The sequence below is a fragment of the Homo sapiens genome, chromosome 21 (assembly GCF_000001405.40).
Source record: "Homo sapiens chromosome 21, GRCh38.p14 Primary Assembly".
Taxonomy (NCBI): domain Eukaryota; kingdom Metazoa; phylum Chordata; class Mammalia; order Primates; family Hominidae; genus Homo; species Homo sapiens.
The window spans coordinates 42,510,469-42,535,817 of NC_000021.9; the positions used below are offsets into that span (position 1 = coordinate 42,510,469).

The 25,349-nt window shown below is 49.3% G+C and overlaps 1 protein-coding gene and 1 long non-coding RNA gene across 22 annotated transcripts in view, besides 12 other annotated features; one reads left to right on the forward strand and one right to left on the reverse strand.

Annotated features, from left to right (window-relative positions):
* The window catches only part of SLC37A1 (solute carrier family 37 member 1), an 81,805-nt gene that overhangs the window by 10,847 nt on the left and 45,609 nt on the right, over positions 1–25,349 (forward strand). For 4 of the 19 annotated variants that reach the window (XM_047440842.1, XM_017028377.2, XM_017028381.2 and 1 more), the window contains exons 1-6: positions 3,384–3,456; positions 4,163–4,249; positions 7,809–8,042; positions 15,308–15,389; positions 24,230–24,362; positions 25,004–25,082. In XM_047440842.1, the coding sequence (XP_047296798.1) occupies positions 7,987–8,042; positions 15,308–15,389; positions 24,230–24,362; positions 25,004–25,082 (350 nt within the window). In that variant the 5' untranslated portion in view covers positions 3,384–3,456; positions 4,163–4,249; positions 7,809–7,986. Of the gene's footprint in view, positions 1–3,383; positions 4,250–4,401; positions 4,468–7,808; positions 8,043–8,077; positions 14,712–15,307; positions 15,390–24,229; positions 24,363–25,003; positions 25,083–25,349 lie in introns of those variants that run through there. The other 15 variants (XM_047440844.1, XM_017028380.2, XM_047440850.1 and 12 more) reach the window with 8 other exon arrangements.
* Positions 1,788–2,510: an enhancer, noted in NCBI's record as "H3K4me1 hESC enhancer chr21:43932366-43933088 (GRCh37/hg19 assembly coordinates)". NCBI's record gives its function as "activates a minimal SCP1, AML or CMV promoter by ChIP-STARR-seq in naive H9 embryonic stem cells {active_cell/tissue: H9 hESC(naive)}" and the evidence as "EXISTENCE:reporter gene assay evidence [ECO:0000049][PMID:30033119]".
* Positions 2,511–3,233: an enhancer, noted in NCBI's record as "H3K4me1 hESC enhancer chr21:43933089-43933811 (GRCh37/hg19 assembly coordinates)". NCBI's record gives its function as "activates a minimal SCP1, AML or CMV promoter by ChIP-STARR-seq in naive H9 embryonic stem cells {active_cell/tissue: H9 hESC(naive)}" and the evidence as "EXISTENCE:reporter gene assay evidence [ECO:0000049][PMID:30033119]".
* Positions 2,511–3,504: a biological region, named in NCBI's record as "H3K4me1 hESC enhancer GRCh37_chr21:43933089-43933811".
* Positions 3,145–3,504: a silencer, noted in NCBI's record as "silent region_13346". NCBI's record gives its function as "represses an Ori minimal core promoter by ATAC-STARR-seq in GM12878 lymphoblastoid cells {active_cell/tissue: GM12878}" and the evidence as "EXISTENCE:reporter gene assay evidence [ECO:0000049][PMID:35858748]".
* Positions 3,725–3,804: a silencer, noted in NCBI's record as "silent region_13347". NCBI's record gives its function as "represses an Ori minimal core promoter by ATAC-STARR-seq in GM12878 lymphoblastoid cells {active_cell/tissue: GM12878}" and the evidence as "EXISTENCE:reporter gene assay evidence [ECO:0000049][PMID:35858748]".
* Positions 3,815–3,914: a silencer, noted in NCBI's record as "silent region_13348". NCBI's record gives its function as "represses an Ori minimal core promoter by ATAC-STARR-seq in GM12878 lymphoblastoid cells {active_cell/tissue: GM12878}" and the evidence as "EXISTENCE:reporter gene assay evidence [ECO:0000049][PMID:35858748]".
* Positions 4,075–4,304: an enhancer, noted in NCBI's record as "active region_18522". NCBI's record gives its function as "activates an Ori minimal core promoter by ATAC-STARR-seq in GM12878 lymphoblastoid cells {active_cell/tissue: GM12878}" and the evidence as "EXISTENCE:reporter gene assay evidence [ECO:0000049][PMID:35858748]".
* Positions 10,123–10,624: an enhancer, noted in NCBI's record as "H3K4me1 hESC enhancer chr21:43940701-43941202 (GRCh37/hg19 assembly coordinates)". NCBI's record gives its function as "activates a minimal SCP1, AML or CMV promoter by ChIP-STARR-seq in naive H9 embryonic stem cells {active_cell/tissue: H9 hESC(naive)}" and the evidence as "EXISTENCE:reporter gene assay evidence [ECO:0000049][PMID:30033119]".
* Positions 10,625–11,124: an enhancer, noted in NCBI's record as "H3K4me1 hESC enhancer chr21:43941203-43941702 (GRCh37/hg19 assembly coordinates)". NCBI's record gives its function as "activates a minimal SCP1, AML or CMV promoter by ChIP-STARR-seq in naive H9 embryonic stem cells {active_cell/tissue: H9 hESC(naive)}" and the evidence as "EXISTENCE:reporter gene assay evidence [ECO:0000049][PMID:30033119]".
* Positions 14,728–14,817: an enhancer, noted in NCBI's record as "active region_18523". NCBI's record gives its function as "activates an Ori minimal core promoter by ATAC-STARR-seq in GM12878 lymphoblastoid cells {active_cell/tissue: GM12878}" and the evidence as "EXISTENCE:reporter gene assay evidence [ECO:0000049][PMID:35858748]".
* Positions 15,132–24,184, reverse strand: LOC107987299 (uncharacterized). Of its 3 annotated transcripts, none has more exons than XR_007067878.1 (2): positions 23,675–24,184; positions 15,132–18,357 (listed from the first exon to the last, which is right to left on the reverse strand). It is a non-coding gene; the product is annotated as an uncharacterized LOC107987299 (long non-coding RNA). The 3 variants fall into 3 exon arrangements; XR_001755068.3 differs by having other exon boundaries at positions 15,132–20,028; XR_002958640.2 differs by lacking the exon at positions 23,675–24,184 and adding an exon at positions 20,360–20,813 and having other exon boundaries at positions 15,132–20,028.
* Positions 24,770–24,949: an enhancer, noted in NCBI's record as "active region_18524". NCBI's record gives its function as "activates an Ori minimal core promoter by ATAC-STARR-seq in GM12878 lymphoblastoid cells {active_cell/tissue: GM12878}" and the evidence as "EXISTENCE:reporter gene assay evidence [ECO:0000049][PMID:35858748]".
* Positions 25,280–25,329: an enhancer, noted in NCBI's record as "active region_18525". NCBI's record gives its function as "activates an Ori minimal core promoter by ATAC-STARR-seq in GM12878 lymphoblastoid cells {active_cell/tissue: GM12878}" and the evidence as "EXISTENCE:reporter gene assay evidence [ECO:0000049][PMID:35858748]".

Here is a 25,349-nt window from a genome sequence, read left to right on the forward strand (position 1 = left end):
ACAAAGGAACTACAAACCGCCAGAAAGCAATTTTTTAAATGGCAGTAGTAAGTCCTTATCAATAATTAATGTAAATGGATTAAATTCTGCAATCAAAAGATAGAAGTGGCTGAATGGATATTAAAAAAAAAAAATCTAGGTGCTGCCTGCAGGAGACTCAGCTTTAAGGATACACATAGGCTGAAAGTAAAGGCATGGGAAAAGATATTCCATGCAAATGGTTACCAAATAGAGAGCAAAAAAGATACTTATATCAGACAAAACAGACTTTAAGTCAAAAACTTCATAAGAGACAAAGTCACTATATCATGATAAAGAGATAAATTCATCAAGAGGATATAACAATTATAAATGTATATGCACCCAACATCAGAGTACCTAAATATATATTAACGGAACTCAAGAGAGAAATAGCAATACAGTAATAGCAGGGTACTTCAGTACCCCATTTTCAACAATGAATAGATGATCCAGACAGAAGATGAATAAGGAAACAGTGAACCTGAATAACATTCTAGAGCAAATGGACCTAACAGACATACAGAACACTCCTTCCCCCAGCAGCTGAATGCACATTTAAATGTACACAGAACATTCTCTAGGATAGATCATATGTTAGGCCACAAAACAAGTTTTAACAAATTTAAGAAGATTAAAATCATATCAAGTATCTTTTCTGACCACAATAACATGAACTAGAAATCAGTAACAGGAGGAAAATTGGAAAATTCACAAATATGCAGAAATTAAATACACACCTGAACAACCAGTGGGGTCAAAGAAGATATCAAAAGGGAAATCAGAAAATTCCTTAAGACAAATTAAAATGGAAACAACATACCAAAACGTATGGGATGCAGCAAAAGCAGTACTAGAGGGAAGTTTATAAAGAAAATGTGGTGTATAGCTGTATCTACACAATGGAATACTATTTAGCCTTAAAAAAGAAGGATTTCCTGTCATTTGCAACAACATGGATGAACCCGGAGTACATTACACTAGGTGAAATAAGCCAGGTACAGAAAAACAAATATAGGCCAGGCATGGTAGCTCACTTCTCTAATCCCAGCACTTTGGGAGGCTAAGGCAGGAAGACTGCTTGAACCTGGGAGTTCAAGACCAGCTTTGGCAACATATCAAGACCCTGTGTCTACAAAATTTAAAAAATTAGCTGGGCATGGTGGCATGGGCCTGTATTCTCAGATACTCAGGAGGCTGAGGGGGAGGATCACTTGGGCCTGGGAAATCAAGGCTGCAGTGAGCCTTGACCATTGCACTCACGCCACTGCCCTCCAACCTGGGCAACAGAACAAGACCCTGTCTCAAAACAAACCAACAAACAAACAAAAAAGAAAAATATGCATGACCTCACTTATTTTTGGAATCTGAAAAACTTGAACTCAGAGAAGCAGAGCATATAATAATGGTGGTTACCAGGGGCAGTAGGTGGGAGAAATGGGGAGTCGCTGGCCAAAGAGTACAAAGTTTCACTTAGGAAAGATGAGTAAGTTCTGGAGGGCTAATGTACAGCTCTAATGTATAGTTAGTAATAATACATTGTATACTTGAAATTTGCAAGAAGAATAGATCTTAAATATTCTCACCACCAAAAAAAAAAAAATAATGTGAGGTGATTGGATATACTAGCTTGACTGTGGCAATAATTTTACAATGTATTCATATATCAAAACATCACATCCTATACTACAAATTATGTAATTTTTATTTGTCAGTTATACGTCAGTACAACTGGGTGGGGGGGAGGGGGGGTGGGAAGAAGCTGTCTCCATATGAGGCCGAGGTGTCCTATATATCCTGAGCTTGTATTATCGCCTTTCAAGTGTAAAACCTGTAGGTGATGGGATGCCCGAAAGGTTTGAAAATCAGGAATGACAAGATCAGATTTTGCTTTAGGAGGGCAACTTGAGGCAGCTTAAAGAGTGGATTGCAGGAGGTAGAACTTGGAAGTGAGAACGCTGTTGCACAAGTGCAGTGAGAGAGGGGTAGCCTCGAGCCGAACCAATGGCAAGGGCCAGGGCTGGGGAGACCATTGGAGAGAGGGGTGGGAGCCACACTGGGCTATCACCGGGAATGGAGAGCTAGAAAAGAGAGGAGAAAGCACTGGCACAGGGGGCCTGCGGAGAGAAAGAAGGTCTGAAGAAAACCTGGCCAAAAGGAGAAGACTGGAGCCCTGGGCCATCCCGCTTGCGGAATGAGGGGCCGGCGGGCTTCCTGGGGCTGAACCCTGCGTGGCAAAGAAGTGGGCAGGTTTTCTTTCTGCCTGCAGAAGGCTTCTCAAATGCCTAACAAAGTGATGGATTTCACGCAGCCCAGCTCAGCAAAGAGAGACACAGACATCAGAGTGTTCTAGAAACAAAGCAGGGCCCCAGGGGGAAACTGCGAGGCCTAGCAGGGCAGGGGAGCCAAACACAGGGAAGAATGCCTTCTCCATTCTCCAGAGGGAAGCTCAACGTGCCTGGGGAAGGGTGCGAGGGGCACTGGCCTGTTGGGACATTTACAGCCAGGCCTCGGGTTGGTTTTATCCTTAAACATTGTTTTATCCGGGGGCAGGCTTTTTCCCCGGAAAATTTCCGCTCTGCCTCACTTTGCTCTTCCCCGAGGAGTGGGCTGGGAGCCCCCTCTGCTCTGAAGCCATCCTGGGGGTCCACTGTGGGTGTTCGGCAGTAGCTTCTAGGGGACTGGCCAGGCCCCTCCCTGGGGCTGCCTAAGGAGAAGAGTTGTTTCTGGGGTGACGTGGGAGCCTGTGTGCCAGGGCACTGGCCCGCAAGGGTAAGAACCCGGCGGGCTCCCGCAGCCTAACAGGGAGCTGCCTCTGTCACGTGCCTGCGAGGTGGGACACAAGTTGGCTTACAAGTTGGTTCGACATAGCCAAATCCGCGTGCCGCATTTCCACGCTATGGAGTGCTAGTCTTCATGATTGTGCCCCTTGACATGACACAATAGGAATAGAAGCCGGGAGGCCAAGCAAAGGCCCTCTTTGGGGGTGGGGGCGCGGCGGCATGTGACCCTCGCCGCCTGTGGGGAAGACCTGCCTTGAGGACAGAGCGCCAGGGGTGCAGAGGCCGCCTGGGACTGCCCGGAGGCCGGTGGGGAGCGCGCCAGCGAAAGCCCGTGCGCCCTCGGAGCCGGGGAAGGCGCGGGCCATGACCCGGGTTCGCCCGCAAAGGCCGGGCAGTGCCGCAAGGCGTGGGGGCGCCCCCGCCCGGTGGCCCCGGGGCTGGTGCGACCCTGGGCACGCCGGGGCCGGGGCCGGAGCCGGGGGTCGCGGCGGCCGGGGAGGGGGAGGAGCCGCGCGGCTCCGCCGGCGCCCCGCGGGCCAGGGAAAGTGAAAGGGCGGCGGGGCCTCCCGCGCGCCGCTCCAGGAAGTCGCGAGCAGGAAGCGCCCGCGGCGGCCGGGCCGGGCTGGGCTGCGGAGCGCGGGCCTCGGCGGCGCAGGTGAGGCGCGGGGCCGGGGCCGGACCGGGAGGCGGGGACCCCCCGCCCCCCCGCCCGCACCTGCGGGGCAGCCGGCGCTCAGGCGCCGCAGCCGCTCAGCACCTGCGGCGCCCTCAGGGAGCCGGGCGCGGGGCCCTGCGCACTCGGAGCTCGGCTCCTCTCCTTCCTTTTCTTTTTTTTCGGGGGGAGGTGGGGGCTGGTTTGGATGTTTTCCGAGAGCCGGGGACGGTCTCAAGCTATTTTCGCGGAGGGAAGTCTTTGAAATACGACATCTAGAAGAGTGGCCCTCGGCGACAATGCCGGGCGTTCCCGGACCGGGGCAACGCTGGGATTCCGGGGAAGTGGAGGCAGAGGGAGCGGGCACGGGGCCGGCAGCCGCTCCACGGAGTCCCCGGCAGGGGCGAGCTTAGCTGTCCAGCCGGGTCCCCTGCCCACCCCGGCCCGGGCCGCGGTGACAGCTGAGGGTCCAGAGAGCCGGCAGGAGGGGACCCTGCGCATTGTCTGCCGCGATGGGGACGTGGGCGTGCCCGCGGAATTCACCTCCTCCGGGGACCAGCCGCCCAGGGAGGAGCCGGCACAGAACGCTGGCTCGGAGCGCCGGCACCCTGGGCCTTTGCGTTGTTTGTCGGCTGAGCAGCTGGTTCCCGGAGCCCGTGGGCCTCCTGGCCAATGCGAGTGACAGCGACCTTCTGGGTTTATAATAAAGGGCTTGACGCGCCGGAAAGTCCCCTCGCCGCTGGCCACCAGCCTTCCAGCCCTTACGGCCCACGCCGTAATCCTGGTGACCGAGAAGGTACGTTCAGTCTAAGGATTTGCATTTGAACGAAGGATACTGGCCAAGCCCCTTACCACCCCCACTCCCCGCTAACACCCCAGCCCGCGGCCCCAGGTTTGAATTTCCAAAGGAGGAATTGCTAAAGCCTGCCCTTTCCGGGTCTCCCTTAGCTCTTTGCCTGGAAGGTGCCTGCCTGCCTGCCTGCCGGCCCTTGAACTTAAATCGTCTGAAGTTGTGTAAGTGGATAAATATTTTAGACTTCCCCCGTTGTTTTTTTATTAATCCCCTTTGAGAGCAAGCTTGAAAACACCTGGCCCCAGACCTGTGATTCACCAAGTCATTTTGGACCTGCATTTACACGTTCTGTTTCATGCAGCCCACCTGTGATGTTCTCTTTGTTGGGGGTTGGAGGCAGGTAAGGGAGGTGGTGCAAATGGAATTCAGGTTCCTTGTACTTCAGCCAAGGGGAAAGAGATAGTGACCATTTTCATTCATCTTTAATATGGAAAGCGCCTTTAAAAGCAAAAAGCCATAGAAAGAGCACACTCTGGACAGGAAGTTGTATTCTATCTCGTAATTTAAAAAAAAGAAAAGAAAAAATGCATGAAAACTTTTGGAGGAGAATTGCATTTCTCACCCATCTTTGCCTGTAAAGTGAGACCCAGTTAAAAAAAAATGTCATAAAGTAGATTATTTAAAATATCTGTGGGGCCGCTTTGATTATGTGTAATGCCACCTCAGCCCTAAAAAGACTGAGGAACCTTACTCCTGCTATTGCTCACTTCCTATCCCCATTATTTGAGTCTCTGCAGATTACTTGGAACCTTCTAGGCAGCGCAGATCACATGTGGGTGGGTCTGGGAGTGGAGCTTGTGAATGTTTCTTTCCTCAGCTTATTCTGTTTTACAGTTGCCTAGGGTGGGTTTTTTGAAGAAATAGGTATAAAACCATGTGTCTTTCAGAGTCTGTTTGTTTTTTTAACTTTTAGTTTCAGGGGTACATGTGCAGGTTTTACAGGTTGTAATAAAGATGCTCTAATGGGCTGTTTCCTAAGTTACTATCTTTTTATATTTTTTTAAGACAGGGTCTCGCTCTGTCGCCCAGGCTGGAGTGTAGTGGTGCAATCTCAGCTCACTGCAACCTCCGCTTCCCAGGTTCAAGTGATTTTCATGCCTCAGCCACCCGAGTAGCTGGAATTACAGGTGTGCACCACCACGCCCAGCTCTTTTGTGTATTTTTGGTAGAGATGGGATTTTGCCATATTGGCCATGCTGGTCTCGAACTCCTGGCCTCAAGTGATCTGCCTGCCTCTGCCTCCCAAAGTGCTGGGATTGCAGGCATGAGCCACCATGCCTGGCCTAAGTTGCTGTGTTTGACAGTGCAATGAAACTGGACATTCTGCCGCTTTTCCTCCCTGGAATGGTAAGTTCCAGGGGGGCCTGTAGAGAGTGACTTTTTAAAAAAGTATCTCTTCTTTTTATGTACTTGGGCAGTGTGCCAAAAACTGGGTTTAAACCAAGTGATTTGCTCCCATTCTGCTGCCCTTTCTCTGCAGGGGATGGGCAGGAAGAAGAGTGGCTGGAGGGAGGAGGTGGCTCAGAGAAACAGGACAAACTGGAATCTGCCCCACTTATCCAGCTGACCCAGGCGAGCCGCCTAGCCTCATTTTTCTCCCTTGTGAAAAGAACGCCCTGCCTCTTCAGGGTGGTCACGGGGCTCAAATGAGAGCATGTCAGTCATGGTTCGTGCTTCCAGAGGTCTTGACCCACTCAAAATGAAGTGGTCTTTAGTGGTGCTGCACAGGCTAGGGAGGAAGGGCCTCATTAGTTGAGCTCTTAACATCCCAAATGTAAAATCACTGTCTTTGCACATCTTAACTGCACTCACTATGAGAATTTATAGCACTTTTCTTTCACCCATTTTACAGGGAAAAGAATCCATCATTGTTTTAAAAAGAAATCAAAGAGGTTTTTTTTCCCTTCTTGATTTGTCAGTGCCTTCTGGGCCTTTGATGTTGTTGTCACAGGTTTTATCAGAGTTGGAGGTTTTTGATTTATTTAGTAGATGGCAATGGAATGTTTCCAGACACGCTGGACATGGAGAAGCAGCACTTGAGAGGAAGACGTTTGCTTCTGACCATCCGTTTCCAGACACTGTTGAACCAAATTCTTTACTCTGAAGTTGTCATCACAAAGTCATTTCCCAGAGTAGATCCAGACCCATTCTGGAGCCCACCCATTTTGAGCAAAATATTGCTTAAATCTAGAGGTTTGAGCAGACGTGGTTTTGAAGTATTTGTGGCTGTTCATTCAACGTGAGTTTCTTGAGCACGTGGTCTGTGCTAGGTTCTGGACAAGGAGATGGAAGTAGGACCTTGCCCTGCAGTCCCGGGCCTTCCTCTTTTGAATTTACAATGAGGATAATATCAGCTAGTGTTTGTTGCGCATTTACTACGTACCAGGCCACTTATCAAGTGCTTCCCATAGGTTATCTCATTGCATGTTTATAACAACATGGATGCTATCATCCCCATTGTTTAGCCTTGAAGGAGAGGGAGCAGAAAGGTTAAGTGACTTGCCTCGGCTTACACAGCCCAGGGTCAGCCTTGGAAGGAGGAGGTATTGGAGTGGGGTGAATCCCACCTATTCAGGCCCTGTAGGACCTAGGAGAAAGGTGTAGTTCTGGCTGGAGCAGATAGAAGAGATGAGGGGCGGCTCCTGGGACGAAAGCTCAGCAGGGATTTTGAATCTTTTTGTAAAAGGTGGTATAAGGGAAAAATCCTTGGAGAATGTGCATTTTTGGAAGCTCACTTTCGAGGGAGGCAAAAGTGAATGTGGGGAACTGATTGGCTTTGGAGGACGCAGTGACTCAGGAATGTCATGAGTTTGACATTGGGATGGGAGACCAGGCCTGCCTGCTGTGCTGGGCCCCTTCTCAGTTCTCTGGCCTCCCTCCCCATTCCTTCCTATATTGCTCTGCCTTCAGCCCTGACTTCATAATCAGGTCATTTTCTGTGACCTCTGAGGTGACCACAGGAGATGAAAAATGAAGAGGCAGACGAGGCAAATTCATTCCTCCTTTGGATTCAAATGGCAAAGTCACAATTAAATGATTGGTTTGATCTGCCCTCTTGTCTAGGCCCACATTTCTCTGTCACTACGGTTCAAAGGTGGCCTGGTCCATAGGGGTGGAACTGAGGCAGTCCAGTGCCCTGGCATGCCTTGATATCTGGGCACATAGCGTGGCTGCTGGACACATACTTGGTTTTGTGAATGGGTTGATCTCTAGATGCCTCCCAGATAGAGATGAGTTCCTTGGTTCCTTTTTATCCACCATCAGAACATTATTTGAAATTCATTTCCAGGTTCTCAGAACAAACCGCCTCAAGGGTAGATACTCCACCTCACTCCCCCTCTTCCTAGTAACACTGCTGGTGGGGGCCCCTGCTTGTATCAGACGTGCAGCTTTGATCAGGACTGGGTACTGCTACTGTACGTGTGTGGTTACTTCTGCCAGTAACGCTGAAGGTGTGAATGTCACGACACTGGACTCTGAATGCCTCTCCTCCTCCTTGTAGAGAGCAGAGCCACTGCCAGAAGGAAGGGGACAAGACCCAGCAGGACACCTTCTTTCCACGCTTTCCAGCCTGTGGGAGCGGCAGGGGCAACAGAGAGAGGATCTGGAGCCAGGATTAATGACTCATTTATGAAGCATCTTATTCTGCGACCGAGGCTCAGTGGTCAGTGGCGACGTAAATGGCTCGACTCCCCGCTGGCATTCGCTTCATCATCTCATTCTCCAGGGATCAGTGGTGAGTCCTGGTGGGGCAGGCCCTTGGCATGGAGCTGTGTATAGGTGAGGGCTACTGTGCAGGTAGTTGTGTTGCCCCAGTTTCATTATAAAACACATAAAACTTGAATCACTGACCTCACCCATAACCGTTGAATTGCTTTTTGGTGGTGGAAGCCGTGACCCAGAACAGTGCTGAGGTGTCCTTTGTCCTTGGTACTGGCATTGTCAGATAGTGTTTGGGCTCCCGCGTGGTCTCCAGTGGTTTCTCTAAGAACCATGGTCCCTACAGAAAAATGACCACTGACTACCAGCAGGGTTAGCAAATGGCTGTGGTGAAATAAGCACATAACTTATATATAAGTTACACAACTCTGAGATCAGATGAGTGGCCTTGCCGGGGCAGAACTTTCAGAGAGAAAATGAAATGTTCTGGTGCAGCCCAGAATGCTGCTTTCCGTTCAGAGAGTGCCTCGCCTTGCATATTCTGAGAATCCTTCTCTTAGGTGGCCTCATTAATTCCATTCTCCTTGAAGGAAACAGTTGACAAGCCCAGAGTCTGAAGCTGGGCTCCCTGGCCTCTAACTTGTCCTGCTGACCTCTTCTGGGAGAGGAAAAACTTTGCTTCTACCCTCGTAGGTTCTGTTTTGGGGGACCTGGGAATTAAACTGACAAAAGACAGACTAGCAAGAGAAAAGACAGATTTCACCACTTATGTACGAGAGGTCATAGAAAAGTGTCCCTCAAAGGGGCATTTAGAATTCTGGGCTTATGCACCGTCCGTCCTTCACAGGGGAAGGGGAGTGAGAGAAAGGTACCTGTGGGCAAACGAATGGCTTTTTGGAAAGACAAGTGGGCCCTCAAGAGAACAGAGAACAGATGGGCGATGTGGTAGTTTTGTGATCATTCCTGTTTCAGTGCAGTGTGGAGGCTTCTCATCTCCAGTGGTAAGAGTCCTGTTTCCCTGGCCCCTCCTAAGGGACAGGATTTATAGCAGATGGATTCTTTTGACTTCTTTTGGGGAACTCTGCTTTTCAGTAGCTAAGAGAATTCAGGAACGCAAATGCCTTCTGCTCAAAATGATTTTGATGCCACAGCGGCAGATTCTGGGCCCATTCATCTCCTCCACGCCAACCCCCTGGCAGCCCCCAGCCCTGTGCAGCTTCTCAGCCCTGCTGGTTGGTGGAGCATCCACAGGGTGTCTCAGGTTTGATTTGAGGGCATCTGTGTTCTTCAACCAGATTGCTTCTCTTCTTGACTTATTTCATGTCTGCTGTGAGTCTAGCCACAAGTGCCTGAACACTTAGGTTTTATTTAGTGAATGTCTAGCTTCTTCATTTTGTAAGTTTATTTTGATATAATTTCAAACTCACGTAACTTACTAACATCTGTAAGAATGTTCCTGTAGAACCGCTGTATGTCAAAGATTAACATTTAGCCTCATCTGCTTCTCTCCCTGCCCCTCCACAGTGTGTTTGTGTGTGTGTGTGTGTGTGCATGTGTGTAGATGTATGTTTGTACACACACACTTTTCTGAACCACTTGAGAGTAAGTTGCAGACATCATACCCTCTTATTTGTAAATACTTCCGTGTGTATTTCCTATGAATAAGACATTCTCTTATAAAACCACAGCAAAAAGATCAAAATCAGGAAATTTAACACCGATAAGATACTGTTATCTAACCCACAGTCCATGTTAAAAACAATATCAAATGTCAAATATCTGTGATAGCATTTCTTCTTCTGTTCAGGATCTAGTTCGGGTTCATACATTGCGTTTAATTATCCTATGGGTCTCGTCTCTTCATCTAGCACTGTTCCTCGGCCTTTTTTCATCTTTTCTGACCTTGGCTTTTTTTCCTTCTTCTTCTGAGACAATGGCCTTGTTGTGTTTGAAGAGTTCAAGCCACTTATTTTATAGAATGTGCCACATTTTAACTTTGTTATTTCCTCATCCTCATGATTAGATTCAGATTATGCATTTTTGACAGAAATCCCATAGAAATGAGGCAGCTTTCTCTTTAATGGAGAAGGAGCTATAGGCATGGGAAGAGGGAGGGGAACTGGAAGGAACTGAGTGAGGTTGGATTGGAATGAAAGTTCTCGGGATAAACTGGTGATGGTCGATATAGAAATAGAGAAGGGTGTGTGTGTGCGTGTGTGTGGGTGTGTGTGTGTAAAATGCACCCCGCTAGGAGGTCCTGGGAACAGTAAGAGCACTAAAGTGAGCACACTTTGGTCCGGGATCTTGGTTTCTGCATGGCATCTCCCACTAAAAGGAGCCAGGAGTCCTTGGAGACCTGGCCAATGCCAGGACTGGGGCAGGGCAAGGAATAGATGAGCCCAGAACATCTTGTGCCAGAAAATAAGGAAGTACTTACAAACAAAGGGACTCTGACTTGTCAAATCTAGGACAATCTGAGATTTACAATAAATGAGACTCATGAATGATAGCCCATTGAATAGCGTAAGATTCGGCGAGTCCTACTGATATAACTAAAGAAGTAGGAGAAATGCACGCTCGCCGTACAGTGGAAGCTGGCCGCTAGGTGGAGCGGGGATGTGGAGCCGCTGCAGGGTACCCAGCGCAGGCACAGAACGCCATGGATGCACCCCGTGGGGCGGCAGCTTGAGGAACAGGATATCTACATTATCTCAAAGCAGGTTCCCAGAAATTCCATATTCATTACTTAGAGGGAAACGTAGTGGTTTCACTGAGGAACTATGAGGCAGACAGCACTTTAACCAATGACCAACGTCAGTGTCACTGCCCTCCTGCACCTTCTGACGGGATACTCTGAACAGGACATGGCATCGCTTCTCTGTCTCAGAAAACATAGACAGAATTACAAAATAAAAAAGGATTTTGGGAGGGCTGTTTGGCTTCTGGGGGTTTGAGCCCATCCATGCTGCAGAGTGAAGCAGAGGATGTCTTTGGACTAATTTCTGCACCAAATCATATCACTCAGTAATTCTCAAAAGTGTTTCTTTATTCCTTATTTGCATGTGATTGAGGTAATAACAGTCAAACAAGGAGACAGATATTTTGCATGGAGCCTCTCACCCTAAGCAGGCTGCCATTCACCTGAGAACACGTGGTCTTCCAGAACATCTCTGAGGAGGCCCAGAGGGGCACCCCCATCTGGTGCTGTCATTGCTGAGACCTGCTTTTTTGCTAGAAATGTGGGATTTTTCATATTGGTGGAAGCCAAGCATGCTATAAGTAGTCATAACTGCAAAAAGTAAGCAGAACACTGAGGAGCAGATAGATTAGATCATTTATTTTTTTATTGTATTTGTTTTATATTCATAAGTCTAAACATAACACAAAACAAAAATGAAAGGATTATATTAGCCTCCTGGGGCTGCTGTAACATGGTACCACAAGCTGGGTGTCTTGAAACAACAGGAATTTACCCTCTCACATCCCTGGAGGTCAGAAGTCCAAAGTCAAAGTGTCAGCAGGGCCACACTTCCTCTGCAGGCTCCGGGGACAGACCCTTCCTTGCCTCTTCCAGCTCCTGCTGCTGCCGCCGTTCTTGGCTGGTGGCTGCATCACACCAGTCTCTGCCTGTGTGGCCACGTGGCCTCCCTTCCTGTCTCTGAGTCTTTGCGTGGCCTTCTGGTGAGGACGCCAGTCATTGGAATGAGGGCTCACTCTATCTAATATGACCTCACCTGAGCTAATCATGTCTACATGACCCTATTTCCAAATAAGGTCACGTTCTGAGGTTTTGGGTGGACATGAAATTATGGGGGATGATATTCAACCCAGTACAAAATGAACAAAAGGAAACATATCATCCAAAACATCTGCTTTATAAATGATAAAGAAAACGTAGATAGAATTACGAAATAAGAAAGGACTTCGGGAGGGCTGTTTGGCTTCTGGGGGTTTGAGCCCATCCATGCTGCAGAGTGAAGCGTCTGCCTACCCAGAGGCCAGGCGTATCGGGGTGACAACCAGCAAGGCAGCGGCCCGAGTGTGGCTGCCGCGGTTTAGCAATAGTCACGGGAGCTGAAGTCAGACCTTTCAAAGAGGAAAGTCTAGCCTCCAGCCACTGCGTCCCCCATCCCCAAGCCCCAAGTCCTAAGTACAGAAGATGAAGAAATGAGAGAGGAAAGACGAATTTGGAAATAGAAGTAGAGTTGGCCTGACACCAGCTAAATAAATACAGCGTTTTCCTCTTCAGTCTTTAGGAACATTCCAGTTTGCTGTGTAAATGGACCCTTCACCCAATTCTACAGGACGGCTTCTGTCAGCCTGGCTACACCGTGGCAGTGACTCTTCCCAAAGGGTCTCATTCATTAAGGTGTCTCCCTCCACACAAGGCTGAACTAAAGGTTCCAGAGGCATGTGCTGCCCCTTGTGTGCTCCTCAGTGTTCTCAGGGCATCTCTAGGCGTGTGCTGTGAGCACCAGCCGGGAGTCACCCCGCAGAGGAAGGCAGGAGCCCAGAACGCATCACCAGGGCCTGATCACCCAAGCAGCCCTGACCATTGGGAACGCGGTGTGTGTCGGGGCCTCAGCACTCTTCAGACCTCAGCCCGACAAAGGGAGACAGCCTTCCTTCTGGGCTGTCTGGGTGGAGAGTGGAGATGTGAACCCACAGCCCATAGGACAGAGCTGCTCTTCTCAAAATCCTTCCTAGCTGGGTGATAACACCTGTAGAACTGGCACTGTGGTTGGAGAATCCTCCTGCATGGAGCAGGAGAGATGGTCCATGGACTTGTCTGAGACTGGGGAGGTGCTGGAGGCAACTTGGCCTGAGAACTTTGTTCACCTGTTTTGAGGAGATTGGAGAAGGAAACCCTGTACTCCAGTGAGGGCCGATCAGGGTCACCCATCAGCCTTACTTGCCCTAGTCAGCTCCAGCAGGTGGGGTGGAAGTGACCAGTTTGTCAAGCTGTGGGCTGGACAAGTGAGCATTGAGGGCCGGTGAAGCCCAGTGGCCTGGAATCTTCCTGCACCAGCAGTCGAAGGCGTGAGAAGCAGTGGTGGCCTAACAGAGAGCTTCATCCAAAGCGCTGAGACTTTCTTTCCTTGCCAGAAAGGATGGTTTTCAGAAACACGAGGACAGAGGCCGGGGCTTCTGGAGCAAATCCACTGTACCCACATAGCCTTTGTTCTTTGGGCTTTGGGATAAATGATAGGCTCGCCTTTTAGGGTTTCGCTTTTTTCCCATTTGGCCCTTGCCATGGGCTTGGAGAGGAAGAATTGGAGAAAGGCCATTGGAAGATAGTTCCCTGATGAAGAAGAGAGCACTGGGGAATTTCTGTCTTCAGTCAGCAGGTATTCTGCGAGTTGGTTTGGTTTGGTTCCTTCCCCAAAGGCACAGGCATTCCAAAGGTTGTAGTTTTGTGTCACACGGAGCCACCAACCTTTCTTTCCCACCTGAAATATGGCCTTTTTTTTTTTAAGAAAAATCTGGAAATATTTATTTGACCCCTACTTTAGCTGGTGACCAGAGAAGAAGGCAGCTCTGGGATCCTAGGATTTTAGTTACTTGTGGAAAGCTTCCCTCGGAGTAAATCACAACATTAAAAATGTAGATGCGCAGCTGGGAGAAGCAACCCCTTATCCCAGGGACTCTCGGAAACGCTGCCTTTCTTTGTCCTGTGTAGGACGCCGCCTTAGGTAATTATTGATTCAGGTTGTTGGTGGCGCCATTTGAAGTCTCTTCCCAGGCCACAAGCAGGACAGGTTCTCCAGGGTAGGGAGATGTGCCTAGGACACAGAAGAGCTGCCCCTCGCCTTCCACTCCTGTCAAATACTTCTTTCTCCCAACCCATTTTGTTGCCCCAAAAAGTATTTTTCTATGCGGTGGTTGAGACTCTTAGACTGGAGTTGCCCTTTGTCTTCTTTCTAAGGCACCTTCTTTTCTTCTTTCTTCCTCACACTCATGCTGACTCTTTCGGCTGCTTTTCTCCCAGCCAAACTGAGCGAGGGGCTTTGTACCAGTGTTTCTGTCACTGGCCTATTGAGAGCCTGCCAGCGTCACTGCCTTTTTCTCTTTGAGGGCCGTGAAATATTTATATGTCTGCCTTGCTTGTGTGCTTCTGAAAAGTTGCATAGAAACCAAAGAGCCAAAAATAAATATGATCTTAATTGCCCAGGATAGCAGGCTACGCCAGAAACTTGTGGTTAGTTTTGTTGTAAACTAAACATTTCATCGTGCTTGTTCTGCTTTGTAAACTCAAGTGTGCATCTCGAGTCCCAGGTTTCCCTTTGGTTACGGTTTCTTTAAATAGATGAATGCTTTTGATATTGTGACGTAATAATAAGAAACATGCTTTTGGTCTCTGGCCCTGGTTCTGGGCACACAGCTCCTACAACCTTTAGTGCTGAGTGTCTTTTTGTTTGCTAATGAGGTGACTGTGGCGGGCCCCAGGACAACCTCCTGGGGGACTGGTTGCCAGGGCAACCGACCACGTGATTAGAGGTTGGGACTCCACCCGTGGACCTCTGGGGAGGGGAGGGAGCCCGCAGAGGTGGAGTGGATCACCAGTGGCCGGTGTTCTGCTCGATCGTGCCTGTGTAATGAGGCCTCCACAGACTCCCTCAACGACAGCGTTTGGGGGCTTGCAGGCTGCTGAGCACGGGGAGGTTCCCGGAGGGTGGAGCCCTGGCGAGGGCACAGCAGCTCCGAGCTCCCTGCCCCATACCTCGCCCTGTGCATCTCTTCATCTGTATGTATTCTTTGTAACATCGTTTATAATAAAGCAGTAAATGTGTTTCCCTGAGTTCTACGAGCTGCTCTGGCAAATTAATCGAACCTGAGAAGGGGTTCTTGGGAACCACCCTGAGAGCCAGTTGGTCAGAGGAGCAGGTCACAACCTGGGGCTTGTTGCCATTGGCATGTGAAGCGGGGCAGCCTCGGCCGGAGCCCCGCCCTGTGGGGGCTGATGCTGACTCCTGGAAGACAGTGTGAGAATTGAATTCACTTAGAGGACATCCAGTGTCAGCTGGAGAATTGCTTGGTATATGGGGAAAACCCCTACACACGTAGTGTTAGAAGTATGGTATGTTGTGTGTTGTGCATGAGGGTAGGAAAAGCAGTCTGGTTTTTCCTGTCTCTTACAGTGTTCAGTTTCCATTTGGACAAAGCAAACGTGGCAATATTTTTTAATGTTCCAATATTATAGTGACATAAGTAATATTGATAATGGCTGTAGAACTGAATGAATAATACACAGCATAAGAACGTTTCAGAACACAGTGATATGTATTCCTAACATAACTTCTGTTATTTCATATCATCCTCTCCCACTGTTTTGTGTTTCAGGTACAGAGCCTTCATTTTTATTTTGACATTTCTGCTGTATGCAAGTTTTCACTTATCTCGAAAGCCTATCAGCATAGTTAAGGTAAGAATCATGGAAAGCACTGCCTGTCGTCTCTGTGAGGAGTTCGTCACTTGAAAAGCTTGTGGGGCAGAGGATGGGGATGGTAGCAGGTACATGGGGAAACAGATTATGTAGAAACAAGTTATTCTGCTGCTTTGGCTTTTCGGTTTCCCTTTGCTAAAATTAAAGTCTTTTAAATGTTTTTTGGATTTATACTTTCAGAGGTAGTAGACTTTTAGTTTTATTAGTTGACATTTCCAGAATTTGAAAGCTTAGCTAAATATTTATTTTATCTTGTGTGACTGTTCCTTCCAAATGTATCCAGTCTTAAGTGGTTCCCCAAATTCCAGCTCTTCGTGCGATCCAACCCTAGGTCTGGCTGCGGAGGTGGCTCTCCATTGTTCTTGGAACGCTGCATTTTTGTCTGAGTGATGGGTGGGCAGGAAGTTGTTAAGCAGGTGTTCTACTAGACTTTGAGAAAAGAAGATTAAAGCAGACAAGCCTACATAATCACCAGTTATAACCTGGAGAAAAGCAGGAATAATTTTCTTACCCTCATTGGGATTACGTCACCCGGCCTGTAGACCATCAGGGGCCTGAGAGGCATTAGAGTCTCTATCGTAGAAGAACGAGGAAATCATCCACTGCCAGAGACAGTGCATTCACAGCCCAGTGGCCCCTCGCTCACTCTCCGGGAGTTGGCAGGGACCCAGCTCCAGGACTGCAATTCTGTGACCTTTGGAGCTGTGCTTCCTCCACTCCTGCCGGTGGCTGAGCCCTGGGTGGCTGCCCTCTGCAGCCCTGGTCGGCAGAGGCAATGCAGAGGCTGGCTGTTTTGTGACGGTCCTAGGTTCCCCACTCTCCAGCAGCTTTCAGGGGATGTTAAACATTCATTTACCCAAAAGATTCTAAAATTCCCCCTTGGCCCCTGATAAGCAAGAAACTTCCATGCCTCTCAAGTTGTTGACTGTGGAAAACGTTTGCAGACCTTTGAAAATGTGGTTTTTAAGAGAGAAGAATATGAAAAGAGGTGGTGGGCCTTAAACACTCATCCGCTTGACAAGAAACTCTCAAATCAGTACCAGTAACCAGTCATTATAAATCTGAATACTACTACTTCTTGTCTTTCTGGTTAGAGAAATATACAAACAGCTCAAGAAAATGGTAAATTATAAAGATGGAAGTGACTATTGAAGAGACTTGGTGAGCGTGTTGGAGTTGAAGGATCTGGTGTAGTTGGGGAGCTTGTGTGGGGTTTCAGGATTGACCTAGAAAGGTTGGGTGTGGATTGTAGGGGAAGAAAAACAGCTTTACAGGTGGGAGAACTGCCTTGAGTGCTACGTGCAGGGATGGGCATCTCCATGAAGGCACCACCTGTTGGGCTGGGGGGCTGTTGGGGCAGATGTAGCGTGTAAGGTGGGCTGGCCTTTGGGGGAATCTTTGTCAGGCCACAGCTGTTGGGGTCCACCTGATGACTATGAGGGCCCCTGTGAGCCAGGAGCAAGTGGGAGCCCTGTCCCGGTCCCTCTCCCGGCTTTCCTGGTGGTCCATCTCAAAGCCCCCGCCCCTGACTCTCGTGTGTAGTGGTGTCCAGGCCACTCAAGACTTAGGGCTTCTGAGGAGGCGGCGTCAGGGTCAGCTCTTAGTTCAGTGTCATAAGTAACAATATAAATAACTGCCGCTTACAGAGCCCTGGGGTATGACAAACTGCCACATACATTACCCCTGTGATCCTCACAGCAACCCTGCGAGTGCCCCTGTGAGGAAATTGAGGCTCGGGTCTTCGTTCCCCAGGCAGGGCTGCCACACACTCGAGAATTCCCTGTGGGTCAGGCTGCCTCCAGGGCCCCTACTCATCCTCTCTGTGCCTCAGGGTTTGTCCGGGTTTAATTACCTGAGTACAGTCCCAGCATCACCCTCAGAGCCTCCTAAACGCACAGATTTCCTGACCTAGCAGCTGCGATGTGCCTGGGCATGGATTGGCTTGACGCTGAATCCTGTGGGTTTCTTTACCTTTCAAGATAGATCAGAACATCACACCACATCAAAACTAAACTTTATAGTGCCTTCTGAAGCGCCCGTGTGCTTGAGCTCATGATATAAATGGCATCAACGAAACTGAAAGTAGTAGTGATTCTGTTGACCCACAAAACAGTTGAGTGATTATTTATAGCCTGCATTTCCCAGAATATTGTAAGCAAAACCAAAGCAAAATGTATTTGCTTACTTGAAATTGAACCAGAGGCTGTGAATTAGAAAGTGAGTCTTATTCTGTTATGTCATTTATAGAATGACACGGCACACCAGGTCACATTTAAGTTAGTTAAATGGAATGTTTAGACTTACCTTTGATCACTGCTGATTAATTGTATTTTTCTCGATGATGATGATAAAACCAGGGCTGGGAGGATAGTGGTGTTATAAGTGCAACCCTGTCCCTTCTATCTGCTGCTCCAGCTGTGGCCTAGCCTCAGGACTCAAGGCAAGCGTCTGCCCAAGCTGGTAGACAGGTGAGTCTGACTCCCAGCAGAGATCTTAGTGCGAGCTCTTTTCACCTGGACTGGGCCAGAAAAGAAACCTGAAAGCAGAGGCTTCCCGGAGAAGCTTAAACTGCAGGGGTCCCTGGAGCCAGGGGGATGGCAGCATTGATTTGAATGTGAGTGTGCCCACCCCTCTCTGGACACACAGGACTTAAAAGGAGAAAACTGGCTAGGCGCAGTGGCTCACGCCTGTAATCCCAGCACTTTGGGAGGCCGAGGTGGGCGGATCACCTGAGGTCAGGAGTTCAAGACCAAACTGGCCAACATAGTGAAACCCTATCTATACTAAAAATACAAAAAAAATTAACCAGGCATGGTGACAGGCGCCTGTAATCCCAGCTACTGGGGAGGCTGAGGCAGGAGAATAGCTTGAATCCGGGAGGCGAAGTTTGCAGTGAGCCGAGAGCGCACCATTGCCCTCCAGCCTGGGCGACAAAGTGAAACTCCATCTAAAAAAAAATGAAATAAAATAATCCTCAGTGGCAGACAGAAAACAAAGTCTGAAAAGCTGGAAGTATGTACTATGGGTGGGAAACTTGTTATTTGGAAAGTTCCAATTCTCCCAGTGTTAATATTTAAATAAAATGCAACTCCAGTGAAAATCTTAGCAGGGTTTTTTTTAATTGAATAAAATAATCTTAAAGTTTGTATGAAAGAATGTCCAGGAATTATCAAGAAAAGTGTAAAGATAACATTTTATGATATGAAAATATGCAAAAGATTAACATATTTTAATACCATAATCAAATTATGATATTACATGAGAATAGACAAAAAAGTCAGTAGAATAGATTAGAAAATATGGAATATTTGACAGAGCTTATTTAATAAATTTAATAAATGGTGTCGGCACAACTGGTTATTCGTCAGGAAGAAATAAATGTTGAATCCCTATTTTATAAAAACAAATGGCCCGGGCACTGTGGCTCACACCTGTAATCCCAGCACTTTGGGAGGCCGAGGCAGGTGGATTACCTGAGGTCAGCAGTTCGAGACCAGCCTGACCATCTCTACTAAATGTACAAAAGTGAGCTGGGCATGGTGGCGGGCACCTGTAATCCCAGCTACTTGGGAGACTGACGCATGAGAATCGCTTGAACCTGGGAGGCGAATGTTGCAGTGAGCCGAGACCACACCACCGCACTCCAGCCTGGGTGACATGAGTGAGACTCCATCTCAAAAAAGTAAAATAAAATAAATGGATTAAAGACATGAATGTAAAATACAAAAAGTACAAATCCAAGAAGAAAATTATGTTTATCGTAGGAGTGAGTGTGAAGTTAGGAAACCCAAAGAAACAACGGGCAAGGGGGATGAACAAGCAGTTTACAGACACGGAATTCAGATCGCCAGGAAATATGTGAATGGTGTTCGAGTCTGCCGGTATTCCATATGCAAATTAAGGCAACACTGTGCTCAGTGGCTGGCACAGCATTGCCCAGGGCAGTAAGCGCTATTCACTGGTCGTGAGGGGAGAGGAGTTTTCATGCGTTCTTGATGGGATGTCAAGCGTTAGCGCCTTTTGGTGACACCCAGTGAAATAAAAAACACTACAGCCTTCAGACATACTTCTGGGAATTTCACCCTAAAAATAAAAGCACCTTACTTAGGAATATCTTCATAAGCATCTTTATGGCAGCTTTGTAGTGACCAAAAAAAGCAAAAAGGAAAAAAAAACAATGCTGGATATCAAGGGAACCTAATAAGTAGGTAAAAGTTTGAATAAATTATCACAAGTCCGTATTATGAAATGTGCAGGTCCCTAAAAGAATTCATCACAGGCAAACCAGTTGACTCAGAAACATTTCCAGGAGGTACTTTGAGTAAGAAGTTAACATGTGCATAAGGATGTATAGAATGATTCCATTTTTGAGAAGTAAACAATGACCAAGAAGCTCCTCCATCTATTTCTGTATCCTTCATGAGTGGAGCATTTGCGTGTCTGTCCCTGAGTGTGTATAATGCATTTCACGTGGCACCTGTGACTCATCGCAGGAGGCTGGCCGTGGGCAGGTGCTGTTGTCTGTGGGGGAGAGCCTGGCTGGTCGCTCCTACTTTTGGTACCAAAACTGTAATTGCTCTTCCAGGACTTAGATAATGCTTTGGAGAATTCTTGTAGCCTTATAAAAGGAATGTGAAGGACTGGTTAGAATCAGTGCACCCACACAGCCTAATGAGCCACGTAAAGTTGACTAGACAGATCGTCAAATGCAGATGATACACACACACACACACACACACACACACACACACACACACACACACACACACACACACACCCCCTCTGTGTTGGCTGAAGGTGGAGTGAAACTGGCCTAACCCCACTGTCCTCCAGGGGGATTCAGTGAGGCCTGAATCCCCTGCTCCTGTCCTGTCCTCTCACTGTTGCCTTTCAGTGGCTCCTGCACCCTCCAGACTGCCTGATAATCTCCTCTATTGGAGGCCACGTACCTGCTGCAGAGAATGTGTCGCGTGGCTGTAGTCTTAGGCAACTTAGGTGGGGCTGAGAACCCAGGGCCACTTCTGTCTGCGAAGTGGCTCAAATTCAGCATGGAAAGAACGGAGCCTTCATGGAATGCAGGCGAATACAGTGAATGTTTGTGCCTAAATGACTGCGTGGGGCTCTGCAGGTGTAGGATGAGGGAGGAGTCCAGTCTTTTCTAGTGTCATGAAATTCCCACCGCAGCTGCCTGCTGCTCCCCGGACGGGATTTCCTCTCGCTGCCAGTGGGAGGGGTGGGGAGGGCTGGATGTGGCGAGGGAGTCTGTAGACAGAAGACATTGCCAGCTCCCAGCCCCACCGCCTTCCCCGCACACTCGTCGCGCTGTGACTCCCGGCCCCGCCGCCTTCCCCGCACACTCGTCGCGCTGTGACTCCTGGCGGTTTTCTGTGTTCTTCCAGAAGATTGGCACCTTTCTTCTCCCACCCCCACCCTCCACCCGCGATGGCATCTGCTGTTTATTTTTGTTGCTGTTCTGTGTGTTGCATGGACGCTTTAGCAGCCGTGACGCCCGCGTCTTCACAGGGCCCACTCAGCCTCCCGCCTCACATAAGTGTGGAGTTCAGTTGCTGCAGAGGCTTTTGCCTGATCAGTTTTTAATATCTACCTGATGTCACAGGTTGATTTTGTATGTAACTTGTTGAAAGGCACTTGTGTAAAAAGGTGTAAAGAAAGCTGCTTTTATGAAAGCAGACGTTTCCCAAAGGACTTGACCCCCTCCCCAAGTATTTCCGCAGGGATGGTGTGGCTATGCAGAGGTGAGGGTGCTTCCCTGAAGTGCTTTGGTGAGAATTTGCTCACCTGGCGAGGGGTTTGCTTACCAGTTCATCTTAACCTAATTAAGTTTGCATTGTCTCTGGAACGCCACGTTTGGGGGATAAAACTCATAGAAATACTGAAATATAGCAATGTTGTTGAAAACCTGTGGTTATGTAAATATCCTCAGAACTCTTTGTGCTGGAGTAATATGAAATCTCGATGGCTTTGGCAGCAGCCTTCCAACAGGTCTGCGGGGTGCGGGTGAAGGTGACCTTTCCAACATCAAGGAGAAGGGCCAGAGAGGCGCCCGGACTCACAGTGGCCCTTTCCTGGACCCTTCCCAGGGGCGGAGGGCCAGAGAGGCACACTCCGATTATGGTCCATCTTTATAGTAATGCTGGGACACAGGCATTGTCATGCCAACTCCATAACTGATGGCCAGGGAGTGTAAGTGATGTCACCAAGGCCAGAAGCCACAGAGAGGCACCAAGATCCCAGCTTAGGCCTGTCTGCTGCCGAAGCCTATATCCCTAACCAGGATGTGAGACCCCCACTCATTACATAACAAAACTAGGAAAACTTTTCTGCTTATTTATGAAAAAAAGGGAACATTTCTAATCGGATATGTTTTCCACAGGTGGTTCCTCCCCAGAAATATTAAATCACAAAGGATATAAAATTCTGTTTTAAGCGGCGGCCTGCAGAATCTCTTTTTCCTTTCTTCTGCACCAGGTTAATGTTAGAAACTTCAGCTTCTCCCTGCACATGATTCTCCCTCAGCCGGGGAATGTCCTGTATTCCTGCCCTAGCTGTGGCTTTCTTCAGTCAGAGGTGAATTGTAGTGGCGATGCTTAGGCCCTTTGGGCGTGGCCAGATTGACTTCCATGGGAGGCAGCAGGGAAAGGTGGGCAGAAACACCTGGCTTCTGAAGGTGCCAAGGAGAAGTGTTCAACAAGGCGGCGGGTGAACAGAGAAAGGCCACAGATACCAGCTTGATACAGAGAGGAAGGGCTGCAGGCACCCGCCCTGGGTCTCACGATCACACTCCCAGCCCCTCACGTCCACCTTGGGTGGAGAACTTAAAACACAAGCAGGAGCAGCCAGGGGGACCCAAGCAGTTGGGGAGCAAATGAAAGCACTCTCTTCCTGAGATGCCAGGAGGTCAGCATGGCGCCTCCAGGGAGGACCAGCTCTGCCAAGGGAGCTGCTGGGCAGATGATGACTTTGCATTGTAAAGTAGAGCCCTTGGCTAGTTTTTGGGGACAGTGTTTAATTATAGCAGAACAGCCCAGTGATGACGGCAGAGTCACGTGACCGTGGAGCAGCTGCATCACGTGTGACATGCCGGGACTCAGTGACGTGGCCCACGTGCTGCCAGCTGTAAATCAGGGTGTCTAGCTCCGATTCAAAAGCCCTGGCCTTTTGAAAGTGGCCAGCCTTGTTGGCCACTCCCTCCTGAAGAGGGGGGGCAGGACTTCCGGCTGCTGCCTGCCTGGGCACTGGGGTGGCTCCCTGCCCAGCGTTCTGTGCCCTGACCTGGAGCCAGCTTTGTGCACTGCCCTCCAGACCCCTGGCCTCTCTCAGGTTCCAGCTCACGAGGACACCCCTCTGGTATCACGGGCACTGAATGGGCACTCGATCCCCCTAAGGGACACCCCTCTGACCACAAGGACTTCACTTGCCGCCATCACTCACGCTTGATGGGGCAACTCCTTTGAATCTTGAATAGTGCAGAATGATCACTACAGAGACCCCTGAGAAGAGAAGCATGGGAGCGACAGAGGCCACCAGGGAGGGACACACAGTCACAGAGCACATTCTGTCTTCCTCAGTTTCCCCCGCAACAAGACGAGCCCCTGCCACATGTGGCGCTGTCCTGGAAGTGTTGTTCCTCTTCCCAAGGAATGCCCTGAGGAAGAGCCCACTTAGGCCCCTCTGCCTCCCAACGAGAAGCACCCACTCAGGCCCCTCTGCCTCCCAACAAGAAGCACCCACTCAGGCCCCTCTGCCTCCCGACACATGAGCTTTCCTCTCTGCCCAGGGTTTGTTTCACAAGGGCCGTGTCATCCTAAGCTCTGTGCAAAAAGCCTGGTGTTCAGCGTCACGGGTCCCAGTGACTTCTGTAACTGGGCAGCAGCCTTGTCTGCAGAGGGGGAGACCGAGGCAGGGGCAGCAAGTAACATGCTCACACAGCCAGTCACCAAACTCCAGGGCGATGGCTTTCCCCTCCTCCCACCTCCCAGACAAGTGTCTCCAACCCTGGCCCTGCTTGCTGGTTCTGTGGACAGTTTGGTGGGTGGGTGGTCCCCTGCCCCAGGGATATTTTTAAATTGAGGTATGATTTACACTTACTAAGTATACAAATCTTCAGTGTACAGTTTGGCAGATCTGTACATGCCCATAGGGGTAGTCATCCTCTAGGTTAAGGGATGGACCCTTTCTGGCTCCCAGACAGCTCCCCATCCCCTGTCCCACATTGTCCCCCTTTAGGTAACCGTGACTCTCACCTCTAGCCGCATGGATTCGTTGCCCATGCTTGGACTTCCTATGAGTGGAATGCTGCAGTCTGTACTCTTTCATGTCTGCCTCCTTCTGCTTCATGTTATGTTTGTGAGGTTCATCCTCATTGTTGCCTGGACCTGTAACTTGTTCTTTTTCACGGGTGTGTAGCATTCAGTTGTGTGAATCTAGGAAAATGTACCCCTTCTTCCTTGTGGACAGGTGGTCAAGGATGACAGGCAGTCGGCTTTCAGCTTGGAGCTCTTAGAACTAAAACTGCTCCCGAGGCTCGTCTTCTGGTGGCATATGAAGATGGCTTATGTTCGTCACGTGCTCAGGAGTGGGGTTGCTGGAGAGTCCTGCTGAAACGTCACCAGCAGGCATTCTTGTGGGTCCTGCAGACACACCGCCAGCAGCGCCTTGTGTCCCTCTTAGAATGCAGGGTGCAGGTGCCCTGGGCAGGCTGCTGGGAGAGGAGGGGTGACTGTTCCTCTCTGTGCCCCATGCTGAGCCTCACTGAGGGCACTTCCTCTCCCTGCTTCTGCCCTCCCATCACGTCCCAGGGTGAGCTCCACAAGTACTGCACTGCTTGGGATGAAGCTGACGTCAGGTTCAGCAGCCAGAACAGGAAGTCTGGGTCCGCTGCCCCCCACCAGCTCCCTGACAATGAGACCGACTGTGGCTGGGCACCGTTTGGTAAGTCGATTATCGGTCCGTCCAGGAGCCGAAGCGGCTGTCCTTCCAGCCTTGCTATTAATCACTTTAGCAGCAGTAATGCTGTTCCCAGATGTAACTGCATTTCCATGACAGCCCTCTCCTACCAAAAAGCACATGACTTCACCGCCACGGTGTCCACAGTGCCTGTGCGCAGAGCTGTTCCTCCTGAAAGAAGGTTCTCTTTATGGGGAAATGTGCTGAAGATCATTTGCATTTTGTATTTTGGACTTGCAGGGCATAGTTCTGTGGGTGAGAAGAAGAGAGAGACACGAGGCGCTGGTGTGGGTGCTGGCCTAGGCAGGTGTGCTGCAGAAAAGCCAGTGGACACGTAAAAGAAAAGGCATCAATCAAATGTGCAGCCACCATGCACAATGGGGATTTTATCTCATCTGAATGACGCCTGTATTATATTTAGTGATTATTTGAAACTGCGGTGACTTCATTTTCCTTTGCAAGAAACTGAACAGAAAATGCACCGCCTTGTTTTCTATGTGGAAAACCACGCGTTTCACTAAGTACACCCCGATTTCGGGAACAGATGCTTTGTGTTTTATAGCCGTGCTCTAGAACATAAACTAAACAATACTGAGCTTGTCCTGCTGGTTTTCAAATTCATATAGATAAGAACAACTATCAGCAGCTGCTTGGGGCCCTGGACTACTCCTTCCTGTGCGCCTATGCCGTGGGGATGTACCTCAGGTAGGTCTCCTTCAGTTTTCCAGACCCTTCCTGGTTACCTGGCCCCTCCGTGCAGAGAAGACATCCGCTATGCTGAAGTGCACAGGCGCGCGGGATTGAGGCCCCCGCTTGCCACTGGCTTCCCTGCTGTTCCCTTCCCAAAGACGAGGCCAAGCTTAGGAGAGAGCAAGTGCGTGTGCTGTGCCCACAACACAGGACCTCGAGGCAGAGGATTTCCGTGTCCCGGGCACTGTGCCAATTGACACAGGCTGCCCTCAGCTTTCCTGG